The sequence below is a fragment of the Homo sapiens genome, chromosome 11 (assembly GCF_000001405.40).
Source record: "Homo sapiens chromosome 11, GRCh38.p14 Primary Assembly".
In the NCBI taxonomy this organism is placed as follows: domain Eukaryota; kingdom Metazoa; phylum Chordata; class Mammalia; order Primates; family Hominidae; genus Homo; species Homo sapiens.
This window is the reverse complement of record NC_000011.10, coordinates 119,059,980-119,083,154: the sequence shown is the minus strand read 5'-3', so window position 1 is coordinate 119,083,154 and position 23,175 is coordinate 119,059,980. Positions and strand designations below refer to the sequence as shown.

The following is a 23,175-nucleotide window of genomic DNA, read 5'->3' as shown; positions in this document are numbered from 1 at the left end:
GAGACTACACATTGGGTACAGTGTACACTGCTTGGGTGATGGGCACCAAATCTCAGAAATCACTACTAAAGAACTTATTCACATAGCCAAATACCAACTGTTCCCCAAAAACCCACTGAAAAAAATACATCTCAAAAAAAAAAAAAAAACATGTTGAGAAGGTAAGATGTGCCTTAAGTCAAACAGCACAACTAGGATTCAAACCCAGCTCAGTAGATGCAAAGTCTACTCATAGCATAGCAGCTACAATACTGCCACTGTTTTTTAATTTTTTACTTTTTGAGACAGGGTGTCTGTCACCCAGGCTGGAGTGCAGTGGTGTGATCAAGGCTCACTGCAGCCTCAACTTCCTGGGCTCAAGCAATCCTCCCACCTCAGCCTCCTGAGTAGCTGGGACCACAGGCAAGCGCCACCAGGCTGGGCTAGTTTATTTTTATTTCTTGCACAGACGGGGTCTCACTATGTTGCCTGGGTGGCTGGTCTTGAACTCCTGGACTCAAGCGATCCTCTCACCTCAGCCCCGCAAAGTGTTGGGATTACAGGCATGAACCACCGCGCCCAGCCCATGGCAATCCTAAATACTACCTAAACCACAGTGTCAAACTTACGTCCTCCAATTAAACAACGTAGAAGATGAAATTAGGTGAGGCTGTGGGGAAAACGACAACATAGGAGCAATTTTCAGACAGGCAGCACCACCCAAATTACACGGGGACACCTAGCAACATAAACTTTAGCTGACAATTTCAGAGAGGGAAAGGTGTTTCCAGAAAGGACCTTTTATCCCGTTTATCATCTGGTATTAAGTATAGCAAGACACCAACCTACCCATTATTTAAGGTAGGTTAAGCCCAAAGCTCCCTACCAGAATCTGCCTCCTGCTTGAATATTTTGCCCAAACTACAGCCATAGAGACCAGGAAGAGGAAAGAGTAAGAGCTGTTTTGGGGGTCTTGGTCCAGGCTGCTCCTGGAGCTCAGTCATTAGGTCTTTTGCAGAGGTTCTTCAGTAAATTGAACTGTATGCGATGCCACAGGCCCCACCCATTACCAGAACGAGACTGAGTCAACATGGTCTCCAAGAAAACCGTAGGAGGGAAGTGGAACGCCAGGAGAGCAGAGGGAAGGAAGTCCATCATGCAGTTAAGAATCACCAGGAAGTCCCCAGAAAAAAATCCTTAAGCTCCCAAATCATTATATTCTTTTATTTATAGACTCTGAGAGCAAGGACCCAAGCACAGCCTGGTGCTCTTGGATAGAGAAGAAAGCAGCTATTGTCCACACTCAGAGGTTGCTGAGGTGCCCTCCCCCACTGATCTGGAATGATCTACACTGCTAGTGAAGAGGAGGGATGGCAAGCTGACTAAATAAGAAGGCAGGGAAAGAAAGTCCGCTTTAGTTCTGAGGGCTGTGACATTAGATGAGAGTGGAGCCCTGGGCATGTCAGCCAGCCTTCTGTGTAACGCCCGCCCAGGTCCCATTGTGTCTGTTCTCTTGGTCCTCCACTGTTGCCCACATCTTCCTCCAGGCTGCTTAAGTGCCCCTCCTGGAGTGCATGAGTAGGTCGCGTTGCAGCCCAGCCTCCAGGCTGGAGGTCAGTCTGGCTGTGGGAGGGTCGGTCAGCAGAGTCAATTTGTTGAAAACACCTCTGCCAAAGTAGTCAGCAATCACAGAAAAGCTGTCATTGGAGCACTTGAGCTGCAGGAGAAGAGGAGGGAAGGAATACGAATCAGAATCAAAGTGCTTGTTTCTTAAATGAGGAGGTGATAAGGAAACAAGCCCTCCAGTGACTCTGTGACACTAGTGGGAATCCCCTGGCCCATCTAGCCCACTCATCCCCACCTGATGCTGGAATTGATCATGGAGATCTCGTTTCTGTTCCTGGGCCCGGATCATATCCATGACCTTCCGGTTTTCAGGGAGGCAGGTGGGGCAGTCAGCATCACTTTCCGAGTAACTCTCAAAGCAGTGTTGGTGGAAGGAGTGGCCACACAGGAAGTGGACTGAGGGCAACTCCAAGGCACTGTTACAGATGCTGCACTTGGTCTTTTGGAAAATCTTAGGACTACAGGGAAGAAAGACCAGAAGTGAGTGGCAAAAGTGAGGGCAAGGCCAGGAGTCAAGGATGAGAAAGAAGGCAGCTGAAGTGCACAGGGCAAGGTCCCTGGTAAGGCCCCTGAAGGCCCTGCCCTGCTCTTCTTATCGCCTTAAGGGAGTCAAATGAATACAACAGCCCTGGACCTGCAGTGAGTCTCAGCATGCTCCCAACAAGGCCAACTCAGCCTGGGGATTGTTTCCTCTGTCTCCATTTTCACAACTGCCACTAAATTAACTTTCAGGTCTGTACTCAGATGTGACCCTTTCACTGAGGCCTTTCCTGGGCCACCTTCTCTAAACTTGTTAACACACTTCTCCCACTCCCCTTGCTCAATTCATTTGCCACTCAGAACTTATCACCACCTAACATACTACAAAACTTTGTCTATTTGGCTGGGCACAGTGGCTCACACCTGTAATCCCAGCACTTTGGGAGGCCGAGGCAGGTGGATCACCTGACGTCAGGAGTTCTAGACCAGCCTGGCCAATATGGTGAAACCCAGTCTCTACTAAAAATATAAAGATTAGCCAGGCATGATGGCAGGCACCTGTAATCCCAGGTACTCAGGGGGCCAAGGCAGGAGAATCGCTTGAACCCAGGAGGCAGAGGTTGCAGTGAGCCGAGATTGCGCCATCACACTCCAGCGTGGGGGACAAGAGCGAGACTTCGTCTCAAAAAAGAAAAAAAAAATTTGCCTATTTGGCCGGGTGCAGTGGCTCACGCATGTAATCCCAGCACTTTGGGAGGCCAAGGCAGGCAGATCCCCTGAAGTCAGGAGTTCAAGACCAGCCTGGCCAACATAGTGAAACCCTGTCTCTACAAAAATACAAAAATTAGCCAGGCATGGTGGCAGGCGCCTGTAATTCCATCTACTCAGGAGGCTGAGGCAGGAGAATCGCTTGAACCCAGGAGGTAAAGGTTGCTGTGAGCTGAGATCGCGCCACTGCACTCTAGCCTGGGTGACAGAGTGAGACTCTATCTCAAAAGAAAAAAAAAAAGTTTGCCTATTTAACATGTTTGCTGTCTGTCTCTTCTACAACATAAAGCTCCATGAAGGCTTTTTGCCTGTGCTGTTCAGAATAGTGTCTGGGACACCACAGAGGCTCAATATTTGTAGAATGAAGAAACTGTTGTTCTCTAATAAATATTTTACAGAATGTTAAGGGCAGGTAAGATTTCAGAGTTGGGATTATGGCCGGGCACCGTGGCTCATCCCAGCACTTTGGGAGGTCAAGGCCGGAGGATCACTTGAGGCCAGGAGTTCGAGACCAGCCTGGCCAACATTATAAACCCCATCTCTACTAAAAATCCAAAAATTAGCTGGGCTTGGTGGCACACGCCTGTAATCCCAGCTACTTGGGAGGCTGAGGCGGGAGAATCACTTGAGCCCAGGAGATCAAAGCTGCAGTGAGCCGTGATCACACCCCTCCACTCCAGCCTCAGTGACAAGATCCTGTCTCAAAAAAGAAAAACACCAGAACGGCTTCCAACCACAATACGGATGTGTTTAGAAGTGGTAGAATACAGGCATATAAAGAACAAAAAGTACCTGCTACAAAATAATATCATCCAAAGCCCAATAAATAATGATCTATGTAATAAACCATTTTTTGGAATTCCTCAATTAAAACACAACTTGAAGAATCAAAATGCTCAAAAGCACTCCATAGTATCCTCTACGGAAAGTACTTAGTAATGAATACCCTGTGAAGGGCAAGTTATCCCCTGGACTCCTCCACATATCCATGCCCCGGGTACCTGGCCTTGAGCTCTTGGATCTCCTGGCGGATACGGGTGGTCTCCTCTCGGTACCGCCGCACCCGCAGCTCATCCTGTGCAATCTGCTGGCTCTGTTTCTGTAGTTTTTGGACCAGGTAGTCCCTGATGACGGAGAGTGTGGCTGTGGAGTTGTGGGCCAGGGTCTGCACCACTGAGATTGGGGTCCAAGAGGAAACAAGACAATCAACCACGTGTGGCACTCTCTGGATAAAGGTGAAGGGCCCCTGCCACAGAGCCCAGCTGTCAGCAGCTTGTCACCCACCCATCTGTCTTCCCAAGTACCTAGAAGAGGTGGCATGAGGTTCTTGTTCTCGATATGCTTGAGGACAGCTGCCACATACTCCTTGCAGTCCTCCTCCTTGCGAGCGAAGTAGCTGAGGGCCTGCTCCCACAAGGAGGGGTCCTGCTCCCCATGGCGCTCACACACGCTGATGACCTGCCGGTACTGCTCGTGCTGCATGTGGTAGTGCATGATCTGCTGGAACCTGCGGCCGGGGCAAGGGCACACCTCAGTGGCTGTCTCTGGAAAATGACTTGGATTCTTCCCCTTTCCCTGAAATTCCCCAAACTCTTACAGCTTCCCCTGCTCATAAAGGTAAAGGACACCATCCTGGAAGTCGTGCATCTGGCACAGGACCAGGGCCTTGTCAAAGACGTCGCAGAAGCGACCACTCTTCAGCAGGGAAATGGCCTCTGCGTGAAGCTTCTCTTTGACCTGGAGAGGAAGGAGGGCAGAGCTGCTGGACAAAAGGGGAAAATCACAAGGTCTCTTGGGACAAAGCCAGTCAACTCTTTCCCTCAGTCCATTCCCTCTTCACAGAGGACCATTGAGCCCCGAGGTAAGGTGTTACTGGTCTAAGGAATGCAGTGAAAGGCAGCCACCAAGACGGAAGAATGGAGACGGCACGAACTGTCTTTTCTCCTGAAGCCCTGGCCAGGCCTCACCTGTGGATCCTTCTCGTGGGCCCAGTTCTGCAGTCGCAGCTCAAGGAGTGTGTCGTAGATCCCCTGGGGTGAGTCTGGCTGCACTTCACTCATGTGCTCTAGGAAGGCTTTCAGCTCTCGCGGGTTATTGGCAAAGATGGGGATGAACTCCTCAGAGTTGGCCTAGGATGGCAAGAGAGGAAAAAGGAGGCTGAATGAGTGGGCGTGATATACAGGAAGCCCTTAAGGTGATCCCCACAGTCTGAAGCTCTTTTCCCTGCAGCCTCACCCTGCAGCCTGGGGCCTCCCTATCGCTGCGGCCTTCGAGGCTGGGCCGATAATCAGTACAAAGTCCCTTCAGCAACTGAGTTGTCTGCTCTGGTATGTGGTGCATGAGGATCTTGCCGTAGCGCTTCATGTTGCTCTCTGCCTGCTCAAAAGGCAGCTTGCCGATGTATCGAAGGGCTTCCTGATAATTCTGTGGAAAAGTAAAGGGCAGAATAGTGTATACTCCTGCCTCAGCCACCAGGAAGCACTTTCACCATTCTGGAGATGTCTTCAAAAACGACAGGGCTCTGCCCAAGTTGAGAGTCTCACCTCCACTCAGGAGGATGGGGTGGGAGGATCACCTGAGCCCAGGAATTCAACTCCAGCCTGGGCAACATAGTGAGACCCTGTCTCTTGGGGAAAAAAGACAGTCTCACCTACCTTAATGTCTTCTAGCTGGATCTTCAGGTACCACTCATGATGTGCATGGTTCTCCGCCAGATACAGGGCATGGGAGTAGTAGCCAGCCTGCCGGAGGACCTTGATGGCTGTCTCCACATCAAAGTGGACTTCACTCTCACTCTTTTTCTGCCAGGGAGACATGAGACAAAATCATTTACACAGAGGGAGATAGAGAAGGGAGAGGAAACAGGCACCTGACTTTCAGATTCCTAAGGTGATATCATAACGTTCACACTTTGAAAATATTATGCTACTCAGCCTGTGGGAGTTTCTGACTAAAGTTTTCCTCTGCCCCTACCATTAGAGGGACACCGCTAGGGACAGGACTTCCCCAGTGCCACCACCCTGGGCTTAGATACCATGGGAATTTCTAGAATCATAAAACAAGAGGGGAGATGGCACCGAACTAACAGGAACAGCCACTCCTCTAAATAAGGTCAGCCCTTTCCTCTCCCTATGTCTTGCTGAAACGAACAAGTCCCGGTGGAGCCACCTCATGCTCAGTGGGGCCTCCAAGACTTCCCCACCAACAACATCCTGCACCTTGATGAACTCCTCCAGCTTCGAGCTGTCCTTGAGCTTGGTATAGCAGTTGAGGAGCAGGGTGGTATGGTCGGCATTGGCCAGGGATTGTCGGTGCAGGGTCTGCAGGTAGGCAGTCAGGTTGTGAATGCGCTGGGCATCCAGAAACTTGCGGATCACGTAGGATGGCTCCAACTTTCCAATGGTTCTAGGGAGACATGTGCACCCGATAGCATCTGAATCAGTGTACTTCTCCAGCTCATGTACACAGGAATCACTTGCAGATCTTCTCAAAATGCAAATTCTATTTCAGTGGATCTGGAGTGGGGCCTGAGATTCTACATTTCTAACAAAGTCCCAGGTAATATCGGTGCTACTAGACTGTGGACCACACTGGGTAACAAGGCTCCAGAGCACTGCTTCTTAAATTTGGCTAAAAATAGGAATTCTAAAGAGAACGGGGAAGAGGCCAAACAGGTTTCTTTTTATATTATTACTATTTTGTTGTTGTTTTATTGTTGTATTTTTGTTCTCTTTCTTTTACATTATTTTAAAATTTAATTAATTTTTTTTTTTTTGAGAGGGAGGTTCGCTCCTGTTGCCCAGGCTGGAGTGCAGTGGCACGATCTCAGCCCACCGCAACCTCTGCCTCCCAGGATCAAGCGATTCTTCTGCCTCAGCCTCCTGAGTAGCTGGGATTACAGGCATGTGCCACCATGCCCAGCTAGTTTTGTATTTTTAGTAGAGGCAGGGTTTCTCCATGTTGGTCAGGCTAGTTTCGAACTCCCGACCTCAGGTGATCCACTCACCTCAGCCTCCCAAAGTGCTGGGATTACAGGTGTGAGCCACCACACCCGGCCTTTTTTTATTATTATTTTTTTGAGACGAAGTTTCGCTATTTCGCCAGGCTGGAGTGCAGGGCACGATCTTGGCTCACTGCAACCTCCGCCTCCTGGGTTCAAGCTATTCTCCTGCCTCAGCCTCCCGAGTAGCTGGGACTACAGGTGCATGCCACCACACCCAGCTAATTTTTGTATTTTTAGTAGAAACGGGGTTTCACCATGTTGGCCAGGATGGTCTCAATCTCTTGACCTCGTGATCCGCCCACCTCAGCCTCCCAAAGTGTTTGGATTACAGGCGTGAGTCACTGCCCCCTGGCAATTTATTTATTTATTATTATTATTATTATCTACTATTATTTTTTTGATAGAGTCTTGCTCTGTTGCCCAGGCTGGAGTGCAGTGGCACGATCTTGGCTCACTATAGCCTCTGCTTCCCAGGTTCAAGTGAATCTCCTGCCTCAGCTTTGCGAGTGGCTGGGATTACAGGCATATGCCACCACACCCAGCTAATTTTTTTTTTTAAGATGGGATTACAGGCGCCCGCCACCATGCCCAGCTAATTTTTGTATTTTTAGTAGAGATGGGGTTTCGCCATGTTGGCCAGGCTGGTCTTGAACTCTTGACCTCAGGTGATCCACCTGCCTCAGCCTCCCAAAGTGCTGAGATTACAGGCGTGAGCCACCACGCCTGGCCTTGTATTTTTTTTTTTTTTTTTTTTTTAGTGGAGACAGGGTTTCACCATGTTGGCCAGGCTGGTCTCAAACTCCTAACCTCAAGTGATCCACCCGCCTTGGCCTCCCAAAGTGCTGGGATTACAGGAATGAGCCACGGCGCCCAGCCATATTTTTAAATTTTATTTATTTATTTATTGTTAGAAATGGGGTCTTGCTATGTTGCTCAGACTGGGCTCATGCATTCCTCCCACCTCGGTCTCCCAAAGGGATAGGATCACAGGCACATGCCACTGCACCCCAGCCTTAGACAAACTTTTTTTTTTTGAGACAGTCCTGCTCTGATACCCAGGCTGGAGTGCAGTGGTGCGATCTCGGCTCACTGCAAGCTCCGCCTCTGGGGTTCAGGCCATTCTCCTGCCTCAGCCTCCCAAGTAGCTGGGACTACAGGCGCCCGCCACGACACCCAGCTAATTTTTTGTATTTTTTAGTAGAGACGGGGTTTCACCGTGTTAGCCAGGATGGTCTCGATCTCCTGACCTCGTGATCCACCCGCCTCAGCCTCCCAAAGTGCTGGGATTACATGCGTGAGCTACCGCGCCCGGCCACCTTAGACAGATTTCTAAAACCCCTTCTTAAGGCAGAAAATTCCAAGAATTAGTACTGATGGAAGGAATTATGGAAGCAAGAGATGAATACCTTTTCCCCCTTAAAGAACCAGGTCAAAGTGAATATTTACAAAGGCCAAGCTAAAGGTTAAAATGAGAGGTAATCATCGGCTCAACTGCATACTGGTCATATAATATTTGACCCTAAAATTCCCTTTTCAACAAGGAATCTTGTTCTCTCATTTAAGGCATCATAGTTCTTATAAAGAAAATTAAAAAGGCCAGGCACTGTGGCTCACACCTGTAATCCTAACACTTTGGGAGGCCGAGGCAGGCAGATTGCCTGAGCTCAGGAGTTCGAGACCAGCCTAGAGAACGTGGTGAAACCCCGTCTCTACTAAAAATACAAAAAATTAGCCAGGCATGGCAGCATGATCCTGTAATCCCAGCTACTTGGGAGGCTGAGACAGGAGAATTGCTTGAACCCGAGGCAGAGGTTGCAGTGAGCCGAGATCACACCATTGCACTCCAGCCTGGGTGAAAGAGCGAGAATCTGTCTCAAAAACAAACAAACAAACAAAAAAAGCAAAGAAAAAAACACCGGGCGCAGTGGCTCATGCCTGTAATCCCAGCACTTTGGGAGGCTGAAGCGGGCAGATCACCTGAGGTCAGGAGTTCATGACCAGCCTGGCTAACATGGTGAAACCCCGTTTCTACTAAAAATACAAAAAATTAGCCAGGTGTGGTGGCACGCGCCTGTAATCCCAGCTACTCGGGAGACTGAAGCAGGAGAATCATGTGAACCCAGGAGGGAAGGTTGCAGTAAGTCGAGATCGCGCCATTGCACTCCAGCTTGGACAACAAGAGCGAAACTCCATCTCAAAAAAAAACTAACAAAAACAAACAAAAAACCAAAAACAAAAACAGTTCCTGGTAGAATTCTAGCCCCTACCTGGAGCATGGATGGGCTTTAGCTATCTAGCTGCCTGTCCCTGCATTCACAGCTATATCCCAAAGTGCCTCCAGACTGACCGGATATATTGCTGGACAGCCCCATCGTGGTTGCCCTTGCTGTAGAGATGGTCTCCATACTGCATGAAAATCTGGGCCAGCCCATCACTGTCCAGATGCTGGCTCTTGGCAAGGTTAATCGCCATCTCAAATAGGTTCTTCTTAAACAGCATCTAGAAGGGAAGAGAGATTAGAAAATTGGTAGAAGTGGTCCTGGGAAGACACTTTCCCAAAATGTGCGCACAACACACAAAACAGAAAGTCCTGGATTTCTGATCTGCCTAGATCCTAGACAAACCAAGAGCTACCAGATATCCCCAAGATCAGTATCATCTTATTTCATAAGGTTCTCTGGAAACAAAGTGAACCCTTAGAGTGGGCTCAGGCTCCCAGCCACTACTTCCCTCTAAAGCCCCATCCCAGGCCATTTACCTTATAATCCTACCCTAAGGAAGCTGAGTAAGGCTGTGACCCACAAGGAGGGAAACACCCTGGCCAATATGACTTGGGGAACCTGCTCCTGCAGCTGCTTCTAGGTGCCTGTGGCCAGCTCTGCGAGCCTGGTGGCCTTGCCTCCAGTTTGGTCTGTGTGTCCTTCTCCTGCAGTGCGTGGACCCGCCCATCCCGCGTCAGCACGTACAGGGAGCCCCACTCAGCAAGCACATCCACTACATCCTCAAAGACGGTGCTATAGGCTATGAACTTGTTGCACAGGTCATAGATGTTTAGAATCTGCTTGTCGGAGCTCTGTGAATCCCTGCTGGTAAACTCTGACCTGCATAGGAAAGAAAAAGCACCAGATGTTTGGACATCTCTGTCTTATCTCCCCTATTTCCTTTCCCATGATAACTTTGGTGCACATTTCACCCAGCACAAATCACCTCTCTGGTCCCTCTCATCCCATAACATGCAGCGCTGTGCCGGTAGTTGTACATAGAGAACACATAAACCTGATCTTACCCTTTAGGATCCTACAATTAACCCAAGTAACAGATTAGAAAATTAAGTACACTAACATATCCATTCATTTAGAAAATAATAATCCAATACATGGTATATGTAAAACACTGTGCCTGGAACTGAATGAAAGCAAAACAAACCAGCATCTAACAGGGAGTACTTTCATCATGCAGAAGACCCCACTTACCCCTTAAAAAAATAAAACCAAAACAAAACAGAAAACTTGCATCCTACGTTTCCCAGCACTTTCTAATTTCTCCACTGCTGAATCCCTTGTTCCTCTGCCCAATTTATTTTGACAAAAGAGTTAAAAAACAAAACAAGGCCGGGCGCAGTGGCTCACGCCTGTAATCCCAGCACTTTGGGAGGACGAGGCAGGCAGATCACGAGGTCAGGAGATCGAGACCATCCTGGCTAACACGGTGAAACCCCGTCTCTAATAAAAATACAAAAAATTAGCCGGGCATGGGGGCGGGCACCTGTAGTCCCAGTTGCTCGGGAGGCTGAGGCAGGAGAATGGCGTGAACCCGGGAGGCGGAGCTTGCAGTGAGCCGAGATCGCGCCACTGCACTCCAGCCTGGGCAATAGAGCGAGACTCCATCTCAAACAAAACAGAACAAAAAAAGCAGGTCCAAATTCCCTGGAGCATTCTAGTATGCTAGGGCTATGTAGCAAATACCTGCAGTAAAAACATCCATTTTTCAGTTAAAAAAAGCATTGTAACCAACTCTAGCTATAAGTGTCACTGGCTGGGTGCAGTGGCTCACACCTGTAATCCCAGTACTTTGGGAGGCCGAGGCGGGTAGATCACTTGAGGTCAGGAGTCTGACACCAGCCTGGCCAACATGGTGAAACCTCGTCTCTACTGAAAATACAAAAAGTAGCCAGGCGTGGTGGCACATGCCTGTAATCCCAGCTATTCAGGAGGCTGAGGCAGGAGTATCACTGGAACCCAGGAGGCGAGGCTGCAGTGAGCCGAGATCACGCCACTGCACTCCTGGGTGACAGAGCGAGACTCCATCTCAAAAAAAAAAAACAGAAATGTTACCTACATAACACCGGAGTAGGAGTAGGAGATTGGCAGTATCCAGGCATTAGGATTTTAAAATCAGGCGGATTCTGGGGAACAAGTCCAGCCCTCTCCCTGTCCCTTCTCACTGAGTCCTTACTTGGGAGAAACCTTCCGGTCACGGGAGACAATGATAAGGTAGCCTCTAAACCAGTGGGCAATGAGCTTATGGCCCTCAAAGGCGAAGCAGGGCCCACGTTCATCAGGCTGGTACAAGTAGACACACTCATCCCCGGCCACAATGAACTGCAGGTCCTGAGAAGGGTCACTTAGGGCTGAGCAGCGCAGGCCACAACCATGGGTGTCCAACTCCACGCGAGGGTAGTCTTTTCCAGAAACTATATAGGACTGCCAGAAGCAACAAAGGGGTTAACAGGCTCCTTTGAGGAGGTAACTCTAAGCCTTCACAAAGGTATTCCCATCTCCATACTGGCTCTTTTTTCCCTCTTGGCATTCTAAAGTCTTTCTCTTGGCTGCTGGCCTTCTTCATTAACCATTACCCATCTATTAAATATATAACCAGAGATCACAATTTCTTTCTCTGTATATATTATCACTATCTAGTACAGAAATTCTGCAAGTAAGAAAAATGTAATAATCTACTACTTTATCAAGAGTATTCCTGAGAGAGTAGACTGTTGTAAATCTGGGGCACCAGGAACAAGAAAGGTAAAGATACTTGTCCAACGTCATTTAAAAAGTTAGTTAGAAAATAGGCCGGTGCAGTGGCTCATGCCTGTAATTCCAGCACTTTGGGTGGTTGAGGCAGGTGGATTGCTTGGGCCCAGGAGTTCGAGATCAGCCTGGGCAACATGGTGAAACCCCCATATCTAGAAAAAATACAAAAATTAGCCAGGCATGGTGACACATGCCTGTAATCCCACGTACTCAGGAGGCTGAGGTGGGAGGATCACTTGAGCCCAGGAGGCAGAGGTTGCAGTGAGCTGAGACAGCACCATTGCACTCTAGCCTGGGTTACACAGCAAGATCCTGTCTCAAAGAAAAAAAAAAAAAAAGCTAGTTAGAAATAAAATTCAAGGCCGAGTGCGGTGGCTCACGCCTGTAATCTCAGCACTTTGGAAGGCCAAGGTGGGTGGATCACCTGAGGTCAGGAGTTGGAGACCAGACTGGCCAACATGGTGAAACCCTGTCTCTACTAAAAATACAAAAATTAGCTGGACATGCTGGTGTGTGCCTGTAATCCCAGCTACTCAGGAGGCTGAGGCAGGAGAATTGCTTGAACCTGGGAGACTGAGGTTACAGTGAGTCAAGATCTCGCCACTGCACTCCAGCCTGAGCAACACAGTGAGACTCGGTCTCAAAAAAAAAAAAGAAAGAAAATTCACATCTTTTTACTACAAGCCCAGAGTCTAACTCTTTCCAGCTTCCTAGGCAAAAAAATAAAATACAAAGCTAGGCAAATGATTCGAATTATATGATTAAAACTTTAACACTCCCACCTTTCCTGTCACTTCATTACCCTATCCCCCTGAACAATGGAGAAGCCCTCCCTGCCTGCTCCTAAGAGTGGAGGCCTTGGTCATACCTGGACGTTCTCTGTTGTCACAACAAACAAGTGAGTGGTCTTTCCTGCTTGGCGAAAGGCCAATCCAGTTACAGGATAGTTGCCCTTGTGCAAAATCTGGGTCTTGCTATGCCGGTCCCGGGTGATGTCTCCTTTGTTCAATGTAACACTGCCATCTGTGAAACCTGTAAGAAAACAAGAAAATTACTTCAGTAAGGCTGAAAAGATCAGGAAGTGGAGAGGGGAAAAAAGACCACTTGAGGCACTCAGAAGTGACAAGCTTTCTCCATATACCCAACCTCTCTAATGGTTAACCTGAATATTGGTACTCACTGACACATTTTCAAAGAACAAAATTAAATGCCTTCCCATTCCAAACTTTATTTATTTTATTTATTTATTTATTTATTTATTTATTTTGAGACAGAGTTTTGCTCTTGTTGCCCAGGCTACAGTGCAATGGCGCGATCTTGGCTCACTGCAAACTCCGCCTCCCAGGTTCAAGTGATTTTCCTGCCGCAGCCTCCCTAGTAGCTGGGATTACAGGCATGTGCCACTACACCCAACTAATTTTGTATTTTTAGTAGAGATGGGGTTTCTCCATGTTGGTCAGGCTGATCTCAAACTCCCAATCTCAGGTGATCCGCCCACCTCAGCCTCCCAAGGTGCTGGGATTACAGGCATGAGCCACCGCGCCTGGCCCCCATTCCAAAATTTAATATCGCAAAGGCCTCAGTTCAGTACAAAGTGGTCTCCTGAAAACAGTAAAGATGAGAGGCAGAAGCAACTCTGAAGAAAATCTATAACAAATCTAGGAGGGTTAGTTTTGCCTTCTGTTTACCAATGGCCATAAAGTTGAGATTTTCATGGACAGTCAAACAAGATACAACAGTTGGCTCTGTTCCTGGAATAGCAGGGAAGATTCGAGTGCAGAGTGGATTGCCACCATCTCTCTTCTCCAGGTTCCAGATCTTAACCTGTGGACAGACCTCAGAAGTGTAAATGCTAGTCATCCTCCAACAAAAAATCATTCCTAGGCTTCTGGATCTTTCCCATTTCCCTGCTGGGACTCACCAAGGGGTTGATGCCCTCTTCATCTTCTCCAACAGATGCCAGAATATTGTGCTGCTTCAGTTGGTACAGGTGTGTCACCCGTAGTTTGTAGGCTTGGAAGCCTGTAAGCTGTAGGGAACGTGGCAAGAACCAGATCTGGCCTTCCATATGTGCAGGGTAGTCAAGGAGCCTCCTTTCCAAGGAGAGATACTTACATTCAGACCAGAACTCAGATAACAATTACATGTATATAACTCTAAAATTTTCAAGGATTTTCCCACATACTCCTTATCTTAAAAAGAGTGAGGCCAGGCGCGGTGACTCACACCTGTAATCCCAGCACTTTGGGAGGCCGGGGGGGGGGGGGGGTGCGGATCACCTGAGGTCAGGGGTTCGAGACCAGCCTGGCCAACATGGTGAAACCTGTCTCTACTAAAAATACAAAAATTAGCCAGGTATAATGGTGCGTGCCTGTAATTTCAGCTACTCAGGAGGTTGAGGCAGGAGAATTGCTTGAACCCGGGAGGCGGAGGTTGCAGTGTGCCCAGATCATGCCATTGCACTCCAGCCTGTGCAACAAGAGTGAAAGTCCGTCTCAAAAAAAAGAAAAAAATTTAGTGCGCCGGGCGCGATGGCTCACTCCTGTAATCCCAGCACTTTGGGAGGCCGAGGCGGGTGGATCACGAGGTCAGGAGTTCGAGACCAGCCTGGCCAATATGGTGAAACCCCGTCTCTACTGAAAATGTAAAAAATTAGCCGGGTGTGGTGGCAAGCGCCTGTAGTCCCAGCTACTCGGGAGGCTGTGGCAGGAGAATCGCTTGAACTCAAGAGACGGTTACAGTGAGCCCAGATCCCGCCACTGCACTCCAGCCTGGGCAACAGAGTAAGACTCCGTATCAAAAAAAAAAAAAAAAAAAAAAAGGTAAAAAGGCCAGAATTTAGTAGCAGCAACATGAAGATGAAAGCAACAAACCGCTAGGCTCATTTACCTCCTCGCCAACGATAATATTAGGGCAGGGGAAATCATGTCACTTTACATATTCATCTTTTAAAGCCAACTTGCATTCTTTTTCTTATTGATCTCAAATTAACCTCGTCAAATTGGCATGCACACATCTCCTACAGATAAGGAAATTAAAACCCAGAGAGGTTAAATGACTTGCCCAGGATTGCTCAGTTGATAACAAGTTAGGAGATGGACTTCCTTCTTTCTTCCCGTAGACCACAGAACAACTCTGGATGACCAGCTAAACCAAAGAGGCGCGCGGCACGGACCCCTCCGACAAACAGATTTCATCCTAACTCGATCTCTTCGGGATCCCGGGAGGGAAAAGACAGCTCCAAACGAAGGATATCTCCAAAGACCAGGCTCCCTCGGCCTGAGTCGCAGACAGTGATGCCAGGAGGGAGGCAAAGGAACTTGGAAGCAGCGGATCCAGAAGCAGGTGTGGCCCCGGGAGCGGCCCCATCATTGCTCAGCGGCTCCTTCACCAGCTCCTTGTCGAAGAAAACGAAGCGCCGCCACTGCAGGTAGGCCGCCATTTTGGCCCAGGGCTCCCACCTCCGGGAGCTTTGTCACGTGAGCTGAGCCAGCGAATCACGTGGTCGGCAGCTTCCGGGAGCCCGCGGGCCCAGGAGCTCCTGAGTCGGGGTGACAGCGTCCCGCTGCTGGGAAAGTGGGCGGGGCCGCGCGGGGTAGTCCTAGATCTGCAGTGTGCGAGTTTGCCGGATGTGACTGTAACTTCGCTAGCTAAAATGCTTGAGAGCGGACCCTTCATCCCTTTGAGCATGTTTCTTCCTAAAATGCGCGGATACCGGGAGATCAAGATGAGGGATGTCATGTGCCTTGTGAACTGTCACCCGCCGTGCGTAAGTGAATGACGTTTTGACCTCACAGGACTGTTTTGGGGCATAAATGAAACAGTGTATGTTAAACCAGGTTTTCGGCTGTATGAGAGGAGAAATAAAATTAGAAGTTTGTGTCTGCCACCACGCAGATTGTGAACCATAGTCAATGTTTTATATTCGTTTTTGTTTCCCCCGTCAGAGCGTATGACACCTAACAGACGCTCAAAACGTTTCTTAAGGAAACGGGCTGGGCGCGATGGCTCATGCCTGTCTGTAATCCCAGCACTTTGGGAGGCCGAGGTGGGGGAATCACTTGAGCCCAGGTGTTCGAGACCAGCCTGGGCAACATGGTGAAACCCCATCTCTACAAAAAATACAAAAATGAGCCTGGCATGGTGGTGGACACCTGTGGTCCCAGCTACTTGGGAGGCTGAAGTGGGAGGATCGATTGAGCCCCGGAGTTGGAAGCTGCAGTGAGCTGTGATCGAGCCGCTGCACTCCAGCATGGGCGACAGAGCAAGACCTTGTCTCAAAAAAAAAAAAAGGAAACTGGGAAATACTGGTGGGGCAGGAATTCCCAAGGCCCTGGGCTTTCTCCCCCTTTCATAGTGGCAGGGTAGGGGACATAGAACTGAGCAAAAACCTGGAAGTGGCAGCTTTGAGAGCTGAGTGTTTTAATGAGAAGTGGCAGGTGTCCAAGATATTACATGATCATTCTCCACTCCCAACTCTGGCTAAACCATCTTTGAATCCAAGCAAGATCTATCCTCATGGACAACTACTGCAGGTTTACTGTTTGTGTGCCATGAGAACCTATAGACAGAAGTGACATAGCATCATTTTGAGATGGTAGGGACATATGGAAAAGTGACCCTGTGGTATTTGTGAAGTTTATTGTTTGCACTCCCCCAACTTCCTTTTTTTTCTTTTTTCTTTTTTTTTTTTTTTTTTTTTAGACAGAGTCTCTCTCTATCCCCCAGGCTGAAGCGCAGTGGCACAATCTCAGCTGACTGCAACCTCCGCCTCCCGAGTTCAAGCGATTCTTATGCCTCAGCCTCCTGAGTAGCTGGGATTACAGCTGCCTGCCACCACGCCTGGCTAATTTTTGTATTTTTAGTAGAGTTGGGGTTTTGCCATTTTGGCCAGGCTGGTCTCGAACTCCTGACCTCGGGTGATCCACCCGCCTCGGCCTCCCAAGTACTGGAATTACAGGCGTGAGCCACCGCACCCGGCCCTCCCCCAACTTATTTCAGAATATTTGATGCTGTATTTCCACCAGCCAGAGTTCCCTGAGAGCGGGGGCTACATCTTGTACCGTAACTGTGAACGAGGCCTAGCAGAGCCTGGTAGAAGTTCCATGTTTGGTTGAAGGAATGAATGTGGTGTGGATGCCTCTCCTCTTATCCACTCCTCTCCTCAATCTGGTTGATGGGCAGGTGGCGTCCATTTGTCTGAAGAGGTAAATGATAGGAAGAAACTCTAGCCACCACCATGCACACAGATTTCCTGACTTCCAACTCAAGTTTCTTTCCTCTTCATCACACAGGATATCTCCAATTCATTGCAACTGTTTCAGGATACCAACTGTTGGGCAGAAGCACAAATGGGAGCGGGTTGAACCCACTTTCACCTACTGAGCATATTCCATACTGGTCATCAGAATGTTTAGATAGTATGTTAATATGTCAGTTGTTAAGCCTATGAAGAATATATGTTAAAAGAAGCAATGTGGCCAGGCAAGCTGGCTCATGCTTGTAATCCCAGCGCTTTAAGAGGCTGAGGCAGGAGGATCCCTTGAGGCCAGGAGTTCAAGACCAGCGTGGGCAACAGGCTTCAAAAAAGAAGAAATGTAAAAGCAGAGATGTGAACAAGAGATAGAGTGCATCTTTGTTGCTTGGGTGCTCCCCCTGTTGTCCAATGGCAGAAGCTCCACGTCTTCCTCTGAGGGCTGAATCTGGTTCTACTTGTGCCCATTGGATCCTCTTATTGATGAGGGTTACAAAGGCCGAGATTGGCCTGCCAGAGAGACCCACAGCACCTCTTCAGACTTACTACCTTCTTTCCTTTCCTTCTTTTGACAAATATGTATTGAGCACTCCTAGTCCAGGAATTGTACCAAATGCCCAGAATATAAATGAACAAGACATGGTCCTCAACCACCACCCTAGAGACAGGCATAAAAAGAACTGACAGTAACAAGCCCCTAATTTCATGTAGTAAATTATATCTAATAAAGTGCCTTCGCTTTTCATGGAATCTTCGTAGCAACCATCTGCAGAAGAGGTATCATTATCCCTGATGAGAAATGGAGTCTCAAAGAGTTTAACTTAAAGTGGCTCTCTCTGGGCAAAAACTTCAAAGTTCTTTGGAAATAAAATGAGTAATTCAGTCCCCTACCCTCTAATTAGATAGTTTGATGGGTGTAAAGCTAGATTATGCTTGTCAGAACATACACCAGGGTTTGTCTCTTAGTTACACTGGTCTGAACCCAGGAATTTCAGGATAGTGAGGAATATAACCAAGCAAATTACACAGAAAATGACTGTTCACTTACAGTTAGTTCTGCATACTGAGAACTCGAGTTCTGAATGGACTAAAGATAAAGAAGAAATACAAGTCTTTAGTTTCGAATTAGAGAGGTCATAACTCAGAATCAAGAATGCAAGAATTGTCTTGCAGTATTTTCTTTTCCCTTTAGCAAACTGCTGCCCATGATATAAAACAGTTACATCCACTGGAACAAAACAGGAACACTTCTTGTCCCAAATGCAAACTTTAATTTATTTTTATCTTATTTTATTTTATTTTTGAGACGGAGTCTCGCTCTGTCGCCAGTCGTCAGGCTTGAGTGCAGTGGCGTGATCTCGGCTCACTGCAACGTCCGCCTCCCAGGTTCAAGTGATTCTCCTGCCTCAGCCTCCTGTGTAGTTGCCTCAGCAAACTTTAATTTTCCGTTTTTATCATCTGGCTCTCCAGGTAGAAACTACCTTCTTTTCTTTTTGAGATAGAGTCTCCCTCCATTGCCCAGGCTGGAGTGCAGTGGCACGATCTCGACTCACTGCAACCTCTGTCTCGTCTCCCAGGTTCAAGCGATTCTTGTGCCTCAGCCACCCAAGTAGCTGAGACTACAGGCGCACGCCATCATGCCCGGCTAGTTTTTGTATTTTTTGTAGAGACATGGTTTTGACATGTTTCCCCGGTTGGTCTCAAACTCCTGGCCTCAAGTGATCCACTCGCCTCTGCCTCCCAAAGTGCTAGGATTACAGGCATGAGCCACCACGCCCGGCCTGTTGTTGTTTTAATGTTCTTCCAGTTTTCGTCAATAACCGCATATTTCTTTCGTTCTTTTTTGTTTTGTTTTGTTTTTTGAGACACGGCTAGAGTGCAGTGGCACAATCACGGCTCACCACAGTCTCCACCTCCTAGGCTCACGAGATACTCCCACCTCAGCCTCCCCAGTAGCTGAGACTACAGGCTCATGCCACCATGCCCAGTTAATTTTGTTGTTGTTGTACTTTTAGTAGAGACAGTGTTCTGCCCTGTTGCCCAGGCTAGTCACAAACTGCTAGGCTCAAGCAATCCACACGCCTCAGCCTTCCAAAGTGCTAGGATTACAAGTGTAAGCCACCATATTTCTTTCTTTTTTTTGGAGGCGGGGGCCGGGGAGACAGGGTCTCACTCTGTCGCCCAGGCTGGAGTGCAATGGCGCGATCTCAGCTCACCCCAACCTCTGCCTCCCAGGTTCAAGTGATTCTCCTGCCTCAGCCTCTCAAGTATCTGGGATTACAGGCACACACCACTACCACCCAGTTAATTTTTGTATTTTTACTAGAGACAGGGTTTCACCATGTTGTCCAGGCTGGTCTCAAACTCCTGACCACAAATGACCCACCCGCCTGGGCCTCCCAAAGTACTGTGAGCCACCGTGCCTGGCCCTAGCCACATATTTCTTTTGTAATTCTAAAAATATTGTTATAGAAGTAGGAAAAAATTTATCTTGGTTTATCTCCTGCTGAAAATGGGCTCTCTCCTGCCTAGGGTTACAGCAAAGTCAAACCTAGAGTCTCTTGAGGCCAGGCAAGGTGGCTTATGCCTATAATCCAGCACTTTGGGGGGCCAAGGTGGGAGGATTACTTGAGGCCTGGAGTTCAAGACCAGCTTGGGCAACATAGGCAGACCTCGTCTCTACTAAAAATAAATAAAGAAATAAGTAGTCAGGTGTGGTGATGTGCACCTGTAGTTCCAGCTACTTGAGAGGCTGAGGAGGGAGAATTGCTTAAGCCCAGGAGATGGAGGCTGCAGTGAGCTGTGATCACACCACTGCACTCCAGCCTGGGCAAGAGAGTGAGCACCCTGTCTCAAAACAACAACAACAACAAACCCTAGAGTTGTTTGTATGACAGACAAAATAATTTTTAAATGTTTTATTGAAGTAACAACATACAAAAAAGTTGTAGAGTAGTACAACCCACTGAAATTCCACAAACTAACTGGACACTCCCATCGTAATCAGCAATGAGAACATGGCTAGCAGCCAGGCACAGTGACTCAGGCATGTAATCCCAGTATTTTGGGAGGCCGAAGCAGGCAGATCACCTGAGGTCAGGAGTTCGAGACCAGCGTGGGCAACATGGTGAAACCCTGTCCCTACTAAATACAAAAATTAGCTGGGCATGGTGTTGCACGCCTACAGTCCCAGCTACTTGGGAGGCTGAGGCTGGAGAATGGCTTGAACCCCAGAGGCAGAGGTTGCAGTGAGCTGAGATTGTGCCACTGCACACAAGCCTGGGTGACAGAGTGAGACTCTCTCTCAAAAAAAAAGGAGTGGGGGGAACATATCTAGCACCCCTAGAAGCTTGCCTTATGTCCTCTTCTAAACCCTCCAGCTTGGGCAACAGAGCAAGACCCTGTATCTAAAGGATAGCAGCATCCTGACTTCTATCCCTGTAGCTTAGTTTTGCCAGCTTTTAAACTTGATATTTAAATCATACAGTATGTACTTGGGCTTCTTTCACTCAGTATTATGTTTGTAGAATTCATCTAAGTTGTCCTATGTAATAATAGTCCACTCATTCTTATTGCTGTATAGAATTCCACTGTATGAATCTCTGATTCATTTATCTATCCAATTGTTGATGAGCATTTGGATAGTTTTCAGCCCGGGGCTGTTATAAATAAAGCTATTACCAACAGCCTCTGGGTGAACATATGTTTACTTTTTTTTGTTGTTGTTGTGACAGAGTCTCACTGTGTCACCCAGGCTGGAGTGCAGTGGCACAATCTTGGCGCACTACAACCTCCACCTCTCAGGTTCAAGCAATTCTCCTGCCTCAGACTCCCCAGTACCTAGGATTACAGGTGCGTGCCACCACGCCGGGCCAATTTTTTTTTTTTTTTTTTTTTTTTGAGATGGAGTCTGGCTCAGTCGCCCAGACTGGAGTGCAGTGGCGCGATCTCGGCTCACTGCAACCTCCACCTCCTGGGTTCAAGCAATTCTTCTGGCTCAGCCTCCTGAGTAGCTGGGACTACAGGCACATGCCACCACCAATTTTTGTATTTTTAGTGGAGATGGGGTTTCACCGTGTTAGGATGGTCTTGATTTCCTGACCTCATGATCCACCTGCCTCAGCCTCCCAAAGTGCAGGGATTACAGGCGGGAGCCACCCCCAGCCGACAACTAATTTTTAAAAATTCTTCTGGTGTAGGATATTCTCTCTGATCAACACTGCCCTCAGCCCATCATGTAATTTGCATGGTTTATGTGCATATATACCCTCACCGATATGTCTATTTTACACCTCTGTCAGTTTGGCACATGTTCTGCAAGACGGCAACTTTCTTCCCTTAGGTTTCTGCAGTGTTGGGGAAGGGATATAGTCCTCCAATGTTAACAAGTTATTCTGGAGAAGAACCAATGAGTTCACCTGCCTAGGTCAATCTAAATCAGGTGTTTTACATTAAAAATTTCCCATTGTTCTTCAGCTTGTTCTTGTGAAATACTATTCTACCCTCTGGTCCCAGAACAAAACAGCTGACTCCTCAGAGCACTTGCACCTGCTTCACTACCCAGGGGGACAGATACCCAGGCTGAGAACTGTAGCTGTGGCAGAACCATGCTCCCACCAGGGGTATTCATGGTTGGAGCTCTCTTAGGAGCTTCGAGAGCTTTCTTCTTCTTCTTCTTTTTTTTTTTTTTTTTGAGACAGGGTCTCACTCTGTCGCCCAGCCTGGAGTACAGTGGTACAATCTCGGCTCACTGCAGCCTCTGCCTCCTGGGTTCAAGCAATTCTCCTGCCTCAGCCTCCTGAGTAGCTGGGATTACAGGCATGCACCACCACATTGGGCTAATTTTTTTGTATTTTAGTAGAGACGGGGTTTCACCATGTTGCCCAGGCTGGTCTTGAACTCCTAAGCTCAGACAATCTGCCTGCCTCGGCCTCCCAAAGTGCTAGGATTACAAGCGTGAGCCACTGTGCCCGGCCCCCCAAATAGATTTTTAATAAGCGCATGAAACGATGAACATATTTGTTTCCCAGTTTCCCAACACATTATGACTTCTTTGAGGGTAAGGACAAGCTCATGCCCATCTCTGGATTAGCAGCACCTAGCCCAGTGCTTGCATATCAGAGTGGCCCAATAAATGTTAAAACGCATACTCTCTGTTTGAAATGGATGGAAAGGCTGGGCGTGGTGGCTCACGCTGTAATCCCAGCACTTTGAGAGGCCGAGGCAGGCGGATCACCTGAGGTCAGGAGTTCGAGACCAGCCTGGCCAACATGGTGAAACCCTGACTCTACTAAAAATACAAAAATTAGCCAGGCATGGTGGTGTGTGCCTGTAGTCCCAGCTACTTGGGAGGCTGAGCCAGGAGAATCGCTTGAGCCCGGGAGGTGGAGGTTGCAGTGAGCCAAGACTGCACCACTGCACTCCAGCCTGGATGACACAGACTCTGTCGCAAAAAAAAATAAAAAATGGATGGAAAGACTCTACTGGATAGTTGGCCAAAAGTGGAGTCTATTACTGAGAAACAAAATCTTTCCCTGTGGAATTGAACTGACAGCGTATATGTCTATCATTATGGCAGAACGAACCCCATGCTATGGAATGTTCTACAGCAGTAAACGAGGAAATGAACCACAGTTACATGGAAAATGCTCCACACTTTATTATTAGTTTAAAAAAATTGCAAACAATGTAATTGTGTAACATTTTATGGTTTTAAAAAAGATAAAAGGCAAACAAGGTGTTGGTTGCAAAAAATAAAAAATGTATATTATGAAAAGATAAAAGCTACATGTTTCTAGGATATCTATATGTGTAAAAGAGGGAAAGACCTGGAAACTTATACACCACACTGACAATAGCAGGTGCCTCCACAAGAGAGAGTGGGGGTTTGGGTTGGCATCAAGGAAATTTGCCTTTGTGTAGAATGAATTTTTTAAAGATTACATTTGTGTATTATTTGTGTAATTAAATTCTGTTAAAATTTTAACTGAATTTCTATTTCTACCAATTTGTCTACTGCCTGAATACATAAC

General features: G+C 47.8%; 1 protein-coding gene and 1 long non-coding RNA gene across 19 annotated transcripts, besides 2 other annotated features; one reads left to right on the top strand and one right to left on the bottom strand.

Annotated features, from left to right (window-relative positions):
* VPS11 (VPS11 core subunit of CORVET and HOPS complexes) lies at positions 1,183 to 15,337 on the bottom strand. Of its 16 annotated transcripts, none has more exons than NR_165452.1 (16): positions 15,145 to 15,337; positions 13,811 to 13,959; positions 13,578 to 13,713; positions 12,758 to 12,921; positions 11,312 to 11,559; positions 9,615 to 9,957; positions 9,204 to 9,355; positions 6,072 to 6,258; positions 5,508 to 5,654; positions 5,089 to 5,277; positions 4,821 to 5,010; positions 4,451 to 4,590; positions 4,158 to 4,360; positions 3,855 to 4,026; positions 1,841 to 2,063; positions 1,183 to 1,696 (listed from the first exon to the last, which is right to left on the bottom strand). NR_165452.1 is itself a non-coding variant. In NM_001290185.2 (16 exons), exons 1-16 carry the CDS (start codon positions 15,084 to 15,086, stop codon positions 1,532 to 1,534), a joined length of 2,796 nt encoding a protein of 931 aa, NP_001277114.1. In that variant the 5' UTR covers positions 15,087 to 15,337; the 3' UTR covers positions 1,183 to 1,531. The 16 variants fall into 16 exon arrangements, 7 of the variants coding, with proteins under 7 accessions (NP_001277114.1, NP_001365147.1, NP_001365148.1 ...); NR_165447.1 differs by having other exon boundaries at positions 4,821 to 4,982; XR_947859.3 differs by having other exon boundaries at positions 3,855 to 4,040; positions 4,821 to 4,982; positions 9,756 to 9,957.
* Positions 15,190 to 15,239: an enhancer, noted in NCBI's record as "active region_5620". NCBI's record gives its function as "activates an Ori minimal core promoter by ATAC-STARR-seq in GM12878 lymphoblastoid cells {active_cell/tissue: GM12878}" and the evidence as "EXISTENCE:reporter gene assay evidence [ECO:0000049][PMID:35858748]".
* Positions 15,300 to 15,349: an enhancer, noted in NCBI's record as "active region_5619". NCBI's record gives its function as "activates an Ori minimal core promoter by ATAC-STARR-seq in GM12878 lymphoblastoid cells {active_cell/tissue: GM12878}" and the evidence as "EXISTENCE:reporter gene assay evidence [ECO:0000049][PMID:35858748]".
* Positions 15,400 to 17,893, top strand: LOC124902769 (uncharacterized). 3 transcript variants are annotated; one of them, XR_007062917.1, is made up of 2 exons: positions 15,400 to 15,658; positions 17,184 to 17,893. It is a non-coding gene; the product is annotated as an uncharacterized LOC124902769 (long non-coding RNA). The 3 variants fall into 3 exon arrangements; XR_007062916.1 differs by having other exon boundaries at positions 15,428 to 15,658; positions 16,598 to 17,893; XR_007062915.1 differs by having other exon boundaries at positions 15,428 to 15,658; positions 16,594 to 17,893.

Excerpts from the sequence above, each read along its gene's own strand:
- VPS11 (NM_001378218.1), bottom strand. The coding sequence starts at position 15,331 with ATGGCGGCCTACCTGCAGTGGCGGCGCTTCGTTTTCTTCGACAAGGAG. Across the intron at positions 4,591-4,820 it reads CCCACGAGAAGGATCCACAG|GTCAAAGAGAAGCTTCACGC; the intron begins GTGAGGCCTGGC and ends CTTCCTCTCCAG. Across the intron at positions 4,027-4,157 it reads CCTCATGCCACCTCTTCTAG|TGGTGCAGACCCTGGCCCAC; the intron begins GTACTTGGGAAG and ends CCCCAATCTCAG.